Genomic DNA, 12,457 nt, shown 5'->3' with positions numbered 1-12,457 from the left:
CACAAGAAAGACTATCAATTCTAGTGACCATTTTTATAGAAAATAAGATACTGAGCCGGGTGCAGTGGCTCATGCCTATAATCCCAGCACTTTGGGAAGCCGAGGGGGCGCAGATCACCTGAGGTCAGGAGTTCGAGACCAGCCTGGCCAACATGGTAAAACACCATCTCTACTAAAAATACAAAAATTAGTGGGGCATGGTGGTGCACACCTGTAATCCCAGCTACTCAGGAGGCTGAAGCAGGAGAATCACTTGAACCCGAGAGACGGAGGTTGCAGTGAGCCGAGATTGCGCCACTGCACTCCAGCCTGGGTGACAGAGTGAGACTCCATTTCAAAAAAAAAAAAAAAAAAAACTGGAACAAGCAGGCATTAAAATTGACATAGAAAATGTTGTCCCCATGAAAATTATTTTATGACTAAAACTATCTTATGATGAATTGTTACATCCCAGAGACTTTCAAATCCTGAGTATTGTGACTAAAAACACTAATTTTCTATTATCTTGGATTTAATAATTTTATATATATAATTCATATAGAACCAACTTGTGTTTGTTTCATTGGGGTACCCCTTCCTTATCCCACACAGGTGCTGTAGGGGTCAATAGTAACCCAGCACCTTTTAGTGATTAGTTAAAAAGTGACTGCGGCAAGAGGACAGCTAGCAAAGCATCTGTTCTCTTCCACGCATGTTACCTCGTGCATGTGATTACTGTGTGTGAACCTGCCTGACAGTGGTTGCCTACTCAGGCATGAAAGGCCTGCCATGATCTGAGTCCTGCCCACCTCCCAGCCGTGCTCTCTTACACTTTATGCTGCAGCCAGCCTGGGCTTCTGGCAGTTTCTCGGTGCCCCAGGCTTGTTCTTGCCTGTGCACACTCCGCCCCAACCCTGCCTCCCCCTCCCTCACGGGAGGGCTGCAAGAGGCTCCCACACAGTGCCTGCAATCATAGCATTCCTCACACAGAGCTGTTACCTGTTACCTCACCTGCAGTCTGCCTTCCTCCCTAGACTGTCACTCCTTCAGGGAAGATTCGTGTCTCCTGTCTTTGCACACGGGTGCACTGCCCAGTCTCTGCACCTAACTGATGCTCTGTAATGCTGTTATTGGGAGAAAGACACATGAAGATGGCCAAATTTATCTATGTCTTTAAAGAAGTTCCAACTCTAAAAACCAAATAAATTAAGTTAAAACAATTTGAAACTATTTTTAAAAAATAATTAAAATGCTCAGCCCAGTGAAGTGTTCTGCAGACAGACACTTTCTAGCAAGAAGGCAAATTGTTACCATCTCTCTGAAGGGCAATTTGGTGGTGGGTATCAAAAAGCAATGAAGGCCAGGCACAGTGGCTCACGCCTGTAATCCCAGCACTTTGGGAGGCTGAGGCAGGCAGATCATGAGGTCAGGAGTTTGAGACCAGCCTGGCCAACATGGTGAAACCCCGTCTCTACTACAAATTCAAAAATTAGCTGAGTGTGGTGGTGCACACCTGTAATCCCAGCTACTCAGGAGGCTGAGGCAGGAGAATTGCTTGAACCCGGGAGGTGAAGGTTGAAGTGAGCCCAGATCGCGCCATTATACTCCAGCCTGGGCAACAACAGAGCAAAACTCCGTTTCAAAAAAAAAAAAAAAAAGCAATGAAAATGTCCATACTCCTTAGACTCAGCAACTCCACTTAGAGGAATTAATCCCAATGACATAATTAAGAAAATGTGTGCAAAGATCCAGGGGGTAAAGTAGGGAACTACTGTGTCATTTACACCAGCAGCAATTGAGAAACAACCTTGATACCCAGAAACAATCTTGATACCTCAAGATACCTTGAGGTTGCAGTGAGCCCAGATCGTGCCACTGCACTCCAGCCTGGGCAACAGGGCGAGACTCCGTCTCAAAAAAAAAAAATAGAGATGAGGGCTTCCTATGTTGCCCAGGCTGGCCTCAAACTCCTTGGCTCAAACAATCCTCCCACCTCCGAAAGTGTTGGGATTACAGGTGTGAGCCACTGCACCTGGCCTGTTTTCTAATTTTTCTACAGTGACTATATATTGTGCTAAAACAGAGAAGGATGAGAGGAGAGGAGAGAAAAAATTTTAAAACGAGCAGGCTGCAGAGAGAACTGACCTCCCCTAGCGGTGTCTGCCTCCCAGAGGCTGAAAACCAAAGAGAGGACATGTCTAGGAAGAAAGGAGAGAATGGGAATTAGGAGATCGAGAGGGGGAAGACTGAGTTGAAAACGCTAAGCTCTCCAGTACTGAGAAAACAAGTTTTCAAAAGTGAAGATACTTTTTCAAAACAAGTGTTGAGAGGTGAAAGGAATTGCCAAGGAAGCCTGGGAATAATGGAAGTTGCCTGTGAATGCAGCACCTGGGGAAAAAAAATTCTCCTGACAGTTAAACAACTTCTTTTTACAACCCTTGGAGATTTCTTTTCTTTTCCTTCCTTTTCTTTTTTCTTTTCTTCTTCTTCTTTCTTTTTTTCTATTTACAGAGCATCTCTTCTTCTTGCACCTAACAGAGCTCATAATTTATCTTGCCACTCCGATCTCTTTCTAGTAATGCCTGCTACTTTTAATGTAGGTCAGTGAAGAGGCTTTGCAATGAGCCTGTTTTTGTTTTTTGTTTTTTGTTTTTTGTTTTTTTCTGCAGTGGCTCTATTTTGATACATGATGAGCAAGGGTTAGATTATCTCTACATTTAAAATAGAATCTCCTAGTGGATTCTATTTTAAAGCCCATCTCAGTAAATGTCCCCTTAATCTGTTGCACTCAGCGCCTGAATCTTGCTGGAGTCACTTTATATGTAGCTTATTTTGAAAATCAAAGCCTTGTGCAGAGTAGATGTTAAACACGTGTAAATTGTAAAGTAAAAGGGAGGGTTGTAAAGGAAAGAGAGCAAGTGAAAGCAGATCCTCTCACCCCTCATTCCCTTCTCTGACCTACTTTCCATCACTCCCATCACTCGACAGACATTCCAGCTTGTTTTTCTTTTCTTTTTCTTTTCTTTTTTTTTTTTTTTTGTGCCACTTTGAGGAAGAACTCACTGGACCACCCAGAGGGAGGAGGGCTGTCCACCATCCAGCCGTTTCCCCCAGAAGCCTCCCACCCAGGGCTTGCAGTGCCTTTTGGGGGGCAGTGAAAGTGTGTGCCCTACCAGGAACTATCCTCTCTCCATCCCCCTTCTCCATCCTCTTCCTCATCTTCACTGCCGACCCAGCACACCCTGGACTGCACTGCCACTCTGGATCCCTTAGGATTTCAAGCCCTGAAGCCACATGGGCAAAGCCAAAGGAAAGGGCTTTTGGCTTTCCCTCCACAGAATGGGCACTTGTGTGCTTCAGTGGAGGCAGAACCCTTGCAGCCACTTCAGGAGCAAGTGACACGGCCCAGCAACAATGGCAAGTCAGCAAAGAGTTGGCTCCTCACCACTTCCTGTTTATTCTGCATTAACTGAGTGCCTACTATGTACTCCCTGCTTTGAAAGGCTCTCAGCCTAATCACAAGTTTACGTAAATCTCCCTCAGCAGTTTCTAAAAGTGCCACACTGTTCCCTAGGGTGATAATATGTCCTTACAACCTTGTCAGGATTAAGGTCATTTTTGCCTTGTTTTTTCAGACACACCTCCTGTTTTCAAAGGTCGTGGATTTGGGGATTGGAGGAGGAATAAATAACAAGCTTTAGCAGTTACAGAAAAACATCTCTAGCTTATTCTTCCCATTAAAGCTGCTCAAGGGTAAGTTACCCTCCATTGGTCTTTTCTTATGGATTTTTACAGGAAAAAAAATGTATTTAAAGGTAACATATATGCCTTGACAATCTTCATTGTTGACATATTGAAAGATCTTGGAGAGGTCAGGTGCGGTGGCTCACGCCTGTAATCCCAACACTTTGGGAGGCCAAGGCAGGTGGATCTCGAGGTCAGGAGTTCAAGACCAGCCTGGCCAATATGGTGAAACCCTATCTCTACTAAAAATACAAAAATTAGCTGGCTGTGGTGGCGGGAGCCTGTAATCCCAGCTACTCAGGAGGCTGAGGCTGGAGAATCTCTTGAACCCGGAAGGCGGAGGTTGCAGTGAGCCAAGATCACGCCACTGTACTCCAGCCTGGGCAACAGAGTGAGACTCCGTCTCCCCCTCTGCCACACACACAAAAAAGAAGAAAGATCTGGGAGAGTTTGTCTGTTTTCCAGAAGTAACTCAATCGGACCCTTGTTCATATGAAATGTTTTTCCTCCTTTTATTTACAGCTACACGGTGTTAGGAGTAGTCGGGGGATGCATGGAAAAACAGGCAGGCCCTTGCTGGTAATAGACATGCCTAAGAAATAGGTTCTCAAGGCCTTACTAACAATTCTTTCTGTCCCTTTTCCCTAATGCCACCTTCAAATCCCAGAACCAAATTTCAAAGGGAAGTAGATAAAGGATGTATTCCCTCACCCATGTTTTTTTTTTTTTTTTTTTTTTTTTTTTTTTTTTTTTTTTACACATCAAGTCTCAAAGACTTGAAGTGAATTAATGTATGGCTCGAACAGATAAAAATCACTATTCAGCCCGAAATCCATTTGCAAGATCTAACTACGGGACACTTAAATTTACCCTCCAAGGATTTGGAACAAGAAATGGCAACTCATTTGGAAAATTAATCTTCATAGGCCTTCTTAGCAGCAATCAGCAGGCATTGAATAAAGAAATTTCGGTAAAGCCTGAGTTGGGGGGAGCGGTGGATATGGGGGCTTAACTGCCTTTGGATTAATGAGCACAGCTGGGAAGAGCCCCAGGCTGGACTCTATTCATGCTTTACATCCAGTTTTGAAAAAGGAAGAGGCTGTCAGAGTCTTAAAGAGGGAGCTCCTAAGGGCGTCCCAGCTTTGATGCTGCTCTAATAACATGGCTTTTCAGGGAGGATTAATAAGCAGGCTTATGAAAGGATCTGGCTCTCCTCTCCGATCCGCTAAACAGGTAATGAGGATTTCTAGCTATTAGAGCAATGATACCAGATCGCAACTTCTAAGACATGCACCAGCGTGAAGCCGCTCTGGAAACCGCCTGCTGAGTGGGCAGCCTTCAAAAGCCCTCTAATCCTTGAAAATGAACTTCAGGTCTTCTGCCCACCCACACAACATGGACTCACTTGTCTGGAACTTAATGTTCAGCACATTCAACAGAAATTTTGACATGAAGAAATAATAGGCTCTCAGATTTTTTTTTAAAAAAGATTCTTATTTAGAAAAAAAATCCTCTAATTCCAGGTGTAACCCATTAGGAATTAAGCTATAAGGCCAGCCAAGTGCAGTGGTGAACACCTGTAGTCCCAGCTACTTGAGAGGCTGAAGCAGGAAGCTTGCTTGAACCCAGGAGTTGGAGGCTGCAGTGAGCTATGATCATGCCTATAAATAGCACGACACTTCAGCCTGGGCAACAGTGAGAACTTGTCTCTAAAACAATCAAAAAACGACAAAGGCAGCCTAATTCAATTTCCACTTTCCCCACCTAACAGGCTTAGGATCACAAACTGTAAAAGTTCTCTTTGTTTTATAGAGATGAGAAGCTACTTGTCCTAGGCACTTAGTAAATTAGGGACCATGCCAGCACTAGAATGTACCTAGGTGCTCCAAGACCTGGATGGACTTGTTCCTTGCACAATCTAGAAATCTGTGATAAAGAATAAATAATACAAGGTGTCCTTAATGAGCCCCTTCCATAGGCAGGTATAATAGAACACACAAATGAGTGGGGGGACCCCTGTAGATTCATCTCAAATTATGCAAAATATGAAGCCACATGCTACTGGTGGGGGAAAAACCTGCCTGCCATGTGCTACTGGTGGGGGAAAAACTTGCTCTTTGAGTCAGGTGCACCAGGGTTCAAGCCCTGACCCTGCACATCTTACTAGGTGGATGATTTGGGGTGGGGCAGGTTATCAGAGCTCTTGAGTCTTAGTCTCTTTATCTGAAAAAAGCAGAGAAAACAATGCCTATCTAGCCAAATGAAAATAAATTTAAAGAAGATAACACTTGTAAAGCTGGTAACTTAGATGCTCAATTAAAGTCAATCCCTCTCCTAATTGCTGCTGCCTGAATTTCTTTTTTTTTTCTTTTTCTTTTTTTTTTTTTTTTGAGATGAAGTCTTAGTCAGCCAGGATGGAGTGCAGTGGCTTGATTTTGGCTCACGCAACCTCCACCTCCCAGGTTCCAGCGATTCTCCTGCCTCAGCCTCCTGAGTAGCTGGGACTACAGGCGTGCACAACCACACCTGGCTAATTTTTGTATTTTTAGTAGAGATGAGGTTTCATCATGTTGGCCAAGCTGGTCTTGAACTCCTGACCTCAGGTGATCCACCTGTCTCGGCCTCCCAAAGTGCTGGGATTACAAGCATGAGCCACTGCACCCAGCCTGAATTTCTTTACCTTAGAACAAAGGGTGCAATTATAGGGAAGGCTTAAATGACATGATCAACACATTTGCTAAGGAATATCAGTGATTGGACAAATACAAAATACCCAGGAGATCCTGCTGTGACCAATAAAAGATTCCGAGGGCTTTAGACGCCCAGTAAGAAGGGCATCTCTAGTCTGATTAGAGTTTAAAGGGAGCAAGAAAGGATGGGAGAGGGGAGGCCAGCGCAATATAAACCAGAGATGTTCAGTAGAAACAACACAAGCCACATGTGTAATTTAAAATGTTTTAGTAGCCGCACTTAAGAAGTAAAAACAAGCATGTAACAGTAATCTTAATAGTACATTTTATTTAACCCAATATATCAAAATGCTATTATATGAACTTGTTCTCATTTAAAAATTATTAGTATTTTTTGTTCTTTTTTCCTACTGAGTCTTCAAAATCAGGGTATATTTTACACTTGGAGTACACTTCAATTCAAGTTCTCACCATCCTGGACAGCACAGGTGTAGAAGTGTAGGTAAATCCCCATGTCCATCCACTGTGCTGGGTGTTGGGGGACCAAAAAGTCTAGATTAGAGCATGGGTTTACCCTCAAGGGACTCTGTATCTAGTTAGGGATCTAGAACAGATGGAGAACATTCACCCAGCAATATACATTTGCGTGTAGGTTCCCACACTGCTTATCATAAGATACTTAACCTGCAGCTCAAGCCTTTTCCTATAAGCCTTAGACATACCCCAAGCACAATATTCCTTCCCATTGTCCACACAAGCAGTTGTCAGACGATGTAATCGATTTGGGGGTTTGGGACATATAGCACCCTAGAAAACCATTCAAGGGAAGAGGGGGATGCCTTGCTTTCTAATCCCTTTAGACTACAGAGTGCCCACTTTATATTATGTGAGCCCAAATTCCAGACAAGTAGGAAAGAAACTGAAAGAGAAGTCTCAACCCTGCACAGAATGTTTACCTGTCTCCTGGAGCGGCAGCGGCAGCGGGAGGAGCCATCCATGTTGAAAAGGCAGAGTCTCTCACTGCCAGCTGCACCCACCCTGCCCAGTCTCTTTCCCTTGCCCCTCCCTTGAGAGCCTCTTCATTTCCTCCACTGCCTGGCTCAGCTCACAGGGAGACTCACACCGCCCCAAAATGAAAAGCCAGTGGCTGATGTGGCTTGTAGAGCAATTTTCATGCTGTGCAGGCATGAGCCTCGGCAAAACCAGACATTGAAGTTTGCTTTAGATTCCCTAGCATTTTCTGGAAAGCCCTTTCCCCCTTTCTGCAACCCCATCCCTGTAGACTCATCTCAGATAATGCAAAAACCAAGCTATGTGCTGCTGGTCGGGGAAACAACAAGTTTAAGGAAAAACCAGGTTCTTCCTCAGCTATTTCTGCTGAGACACGAATTCATAGTAAGGAGTTAATACTTTGTGGGCCATCTTTCGCAGGGATATTTGCATTTTTTAAAGACTGAATAATAATTTTAAAAAAGAAGAACTCAAATGTATTGAGTGCTTACTAGCTAGTGGGCACTGTGCTAAGAGGGTGATGCCTCACTCCAGGGAATGACCGGACAATGGTAGGATTTCAAGCAAGGTGGCACAGGCGGAACAGAGGTATCTTCCTGGTGCTTTCAGTAGACAACTCCTATGTGACCCTAACATGAGGAACAGTCTGTGGAGGATATAAAAGAGCTGCACTTTTTTTCCCCCTTAACTTTTACATTTTAGCACCATTTTCTTTGTTTATGGACTGAGGGCAGAGGAATTAAATTTGTTTTCATCCATCCATTCACTCGCTCATTCACTCAACAAACATTTATTGAGTGCCTACTCTGAGCCAGGCATTGGACTAGGTGCTGGGGGTACAGCAATGATCAAGATGGGTGAAGCTCTGCTGTCATGAAACTTACAATACAGTGGGGAAAGACAGGCAATAAGCAAAGAAACAAAACAAGAGAATTACGGACTGTGATCATCCTATAAACCAAATGAACAAGAGCGTGTGATAGAGGCAACTAGGGAGTAGGATGGAGGCTCTTTAGATCCAGGCTGCGTGGGGAAGCCTCCTGGAGGAGGTAATGGGGTTTTTCTGCATCCCCACTGGTGCTCCTTCTTGGCCTCCTTGGCTTCCTCTTCTTCCTTCACCTACCTGCAGTCTTCAGAGCACAGTCCTGGGGCTTCTCCTTCTTCTACAAACTCTCTCTGGGTGCTCTTGGCCAGTTTCATGACTCTAACCACTTTCTATTCACTGATAATCTCCCAAATTAATATCTCCAGCCCTAACAAGCCTATGACCACCAGACCCACACATTCAAGGGTCAAGCTGATATCACCCCTGAAAAGTCTACTGGCATCTCAACTTAATATGCTCAAACAGGCCTCTCGACTCTCTGCTCCCTCCAACCTGTTCCTGCTGCCTCAATCCCTGTACTCCGTAAATTATCTACCTGACGGCGCAAATGAAAAAGCTGAGGAGTCACTATTTTTTCATTGCATTTTAAATTGTTTTTGAATAAGTAATTGTGATGGGCAGAATAATGGCCCCAAAACATGCTCATATCTAATCCCTAGAATCTGTTAATATGTGACTTTACATGGCAAAAAGGACTCTGTAAATGTAATTAAGTTAACAACCTGGAGGTGAGTTATCTTGGATTATCTGGATGGGTTGAATCTAGTCACAGGAGTCTTTAAAAGTGGGTAACCTTTCCCCTCTGTGGTCAGAGGGAGACATGAATTTGGGGGAAGAGTCAGAGACACTCTGCTGACTGTGAAGACAGAGGAAGGGGCCATGAGCCAAGGCCTGCAGGGAGACTCTAGAAGCTAGAAAAGACCAAGAAACAGTCTCCCCTCCAGCCTCCAGAAAGGAATGCAGTTCACCAATCCCTTTCTTTTAGCCCAGTGAGGCCTGTGTCAAACTTCTACGCTACAGAACTGTAAGATAATAAATTGGCACTGTTTTAAGCCACTACATTTGTGATCATTTGTTATAGCAGTAACAGAAAACTAATAAAGCAACACAGTCACACGACTCAAAATTCAGAGAGTACAAAATAGGAGACAACAAGCTTCTTTCTCACCCTGTCCTCACCCACCAACTTTTCCCCAAAAGTACCTAATGCCACCGACTTCTTGGTATATCCTTCCAGAGACATCCTATTCATATATAAGCAAATGGGGCTATGTATACTTTCACCTAGTATGTTATACAAATGATAGCATACTATACATACTGTTCCACATTTTTCGAGTCAACAATACGGTCTACATGTTTTTCTTTGGAGCTTTTTTATTGTTTTAACCTGGCACCATCACATTCCATTGCATAGACGTAATTATTTAGCCATTTCTTATTGTTGGCTATTTCCAAGCTTTTTATCACAAACAATGCCCTATGCAGAAATAACCTTGAACTTGCAGCATTTCACACAGGACTCAGACAGAGACAGATTTATCTCAGACTGAGACAAATCCAGGAGTCATCCCTGATTCTTCCTTTCCTTCATTCCCATCTAATCTGCTAGCCTGTCCAGATGGTTCTATCTCCAAAACAAACTTCAGCCCACCACTTCTTTCCTTGTCCACCATCCCCACTCTATTCTAAGCCACCACTGTCTCTTGCCTGAGCCATTGCAGTGCACACATCTGCGGTTAGGAAGACTCTGAGATTCCTATACTTGTGTCTTGCCCTTTTGAGGAAGAGCCCTCTTGAGGCCTCAGACTTTTTGTTCCTGAAATAGGATCAATGAAACTAAGCATCTAGATTTTTCTGTGAATGAATGAGTGGTGTTTCCCAAGACTTCAGTAATGGGGTTTCATTTGGAGGCTCTCCTAAAAAAGAAGCTTGTTAAACCTGAAAGGAAGATCAGACGAGTGTCTCTGTGTCTTGGAACAGACGTAAATTTAATTGCATCTTTAATATGTGTTTTTCTTCTGTGGGTTTCCAGGGCACTTAATGGGCTGGGAACAAGACAAGAGTTTTTAGGAATGGAGACAAATTCACCTTAAACAAGAACCTGAGATTAAAGGTCTGCCTTTATTCTACCTAGCCACAGCCTAAATCCTTCCCTGATGGCTCTTGAGGAAGTTCCAGGATGGAAACTGATTCAGAAAGTCTGGCAGTCCTGGTACAGGAAATAAAACATTAAAGAAAGGAGCACTGCAGAGGGAGGCCCCTGTGACTATAAATCTAAAAAAGAAAACTCATGGAGACTAACGGAGGGAAGGAATCAGATTTATGGCATATTTGCTATGGTATACTCTCTCTTCTTATAATAAAATGTTAATTATTTATTAAGCTTTTACTGTGTGTCATGCATTTTCACATATGCTTTTATTTAATTTTCTAATAACTAACAACTCCATTTGGCAGATAAGGAAACTATGTATCAAAGAGTATATTTATTTTGTAGCCTTTCAGTAGTTGAGCCCCTAATCACAGAGTAAGAAGTGAGGACAGGTGGAAGCTTCAGCAACTGTCCTGAACAATTAAAATACACATCAGTGTGAATGACCTTCAGAATGTATTTCAGTCTGTTAATATACACAATAATATGTAAACTATACATGGCAGCTGAGAGTTGTGTTTAGGATCACAGATTCTTTTGAGACAGAGTCTTGCTCTGTCGCCCAGGCCGGAGTACAGTGGCACAATCTCAGCTCAATGCAACCTCCGCCTCCCAGGTTCAAGCGACTCTCATGCCTCGGCTTCCTGAGTAGCTGGGGCTACAGGTGCAAGCCACCATGCCTGGTTAATTTTTGTATTTTTAATAGATGGAGTTTTGCCATATTGGCCAGGCTGGTTTTGAACTCCTGAACTCAAGCAATCCACCCGCCTCAGCCTCCCAAAGTGCTGGGATTGCAGGCGTGAGCCACGGTGCCCAGCCAACATTACAGATTTTGTAGAGAGACTTCCTGAGCTTCAGCATGCTTAGTTCCATGATTACCTGCTGTGTGGCCTTGGACAAATTCCTTTCCCTGTCTGGGCCTATTTCCTATTACATTTAAAGCACTTAGAGCAGTGCATGGCATAAAGTGGAATTTAGCCAGGCTACCCGTAATGAGGGCTTACTTGATGTCAAGCACTGGGCTGTGTAATATATAGAAAGCACTCATCCTGAAGATGGTCTCATGGAATCTTCAGACCATTCTGCAAGGAAATCATTCTTTCTTTTCTGTAGTGAAGGAATCTGAAGCTGTGGCACATCCCCAATGTCATGCAATCATCTGTTAAGTTGCAGAGTTGGGAATTCAGACCTTGCTTTGTCTGCTTCCAAAGCCTGGGCTCAGTAACAAGCAAAGCAGATGGTGGTGTTAGTGTGCAGTCCTGCTTTTGCGCAAGCCCGAGGCATAAGCTGCTCTTCCTGCTTACAGGTACAGACACACATACTCTCCCGCCACAAAGACACACAGGCAGTATTCAAGTGAGAAACTTTCCCAGTGCCTGCGCCCTCTGCTGACTGTGCTGTAGCAATGGCTGGTCTGAAAGGCACTTTCCTGGAGTAGAATTGCTGGTGGTTTTGGAAATGACTCCAACAAATTGAATCCTTGACATTGGGAGATACTGAAGACATTGAATCTTTCTTATTTCCAGTTGCATGAAAACAAGAGGCTTTGACAAACCAAAGTATATTAAGACACATGGAAAAAGTAAGCTTTTAGTGCCAGGTGCTCTCTTTTGGCAATAAAAAAATGGTTTGAGCACCTTAAATTTTATTTTTTCAGAATGTGTCGAAGGTGGGGAGTTGGAGAAAGGTACATGTGGGAGTTTTTGCTCCTGTCGGCAATACAATAGTCTCCCTTGCTGAGAGACTCCTTGATGGCAAAATAGAAAATGTTTGAAAAATATGCAGTGAGAAGATATCTCATCATGCAGCTCCTCACCGACACACCCCACCATGCACACACCCATTTGTTCTTACAATAAAAGAAGGCCTCCAATTTTTACCATGCAAGAAATTATTCTCTGTCCCTCTCTTCTTTTCCTCTCTCCCATTCCTCGGTGCCTTTCTCTTCCAGAAAGAAATTTTAGAATGTCAGACCTCAAAGATGACCCAATA

General features: G+C 43.6%; 2 annotated features.

Annotated features, from left to right (window-relative positions):
• Positions 340 to 841: an enhancer, noted in NCBI's record as "H3K4me1 hESC enhancer chr1:206299039-206299540 (GRCh37/hg19 assembly coordinates)". NCBI's record gives its function as "activates a minimal SCP1, AML or CMV promoter by ChIP-STARR-seq in naive H9 embryonic stem cells {active_cell/tissue: H9 hESC(naive)}" and the evidence as "EXISTENCE:reporter gene assay evidence [ECO:0000049][PMID:30033119]".
• Positions 5,837 to 5,916: a silencer, noted in NCBI's record as "silent region_1751". NCBI's record gives its function as "represses an Ori minimal core promoter by ATAC-STARR-seq in GM12878 lymphoblastoid cells {active_cell/tissue: GM12878}" and the evidence as "EXISTENCE:reporter gene assay evidence [ECO:0000049][PMID:35858748]".

This window comes from Homo sapiens, chromosome 1 (assembly GCF_000001405.40).
Source record: "Homo sapiens chromosome 1, GRCh38.p14 Primary Assembly".
NCBI classification, from domain to species: Eukaryota; Metazoa; Chordata; class Mammalia; order Primates; family Hominidae; genus Homo; species Homo sapiens.
Note: the sequence above shows the minus strand (reverse complement) of the source record. Positions and strands in the feature narration are given on the sequence as shown.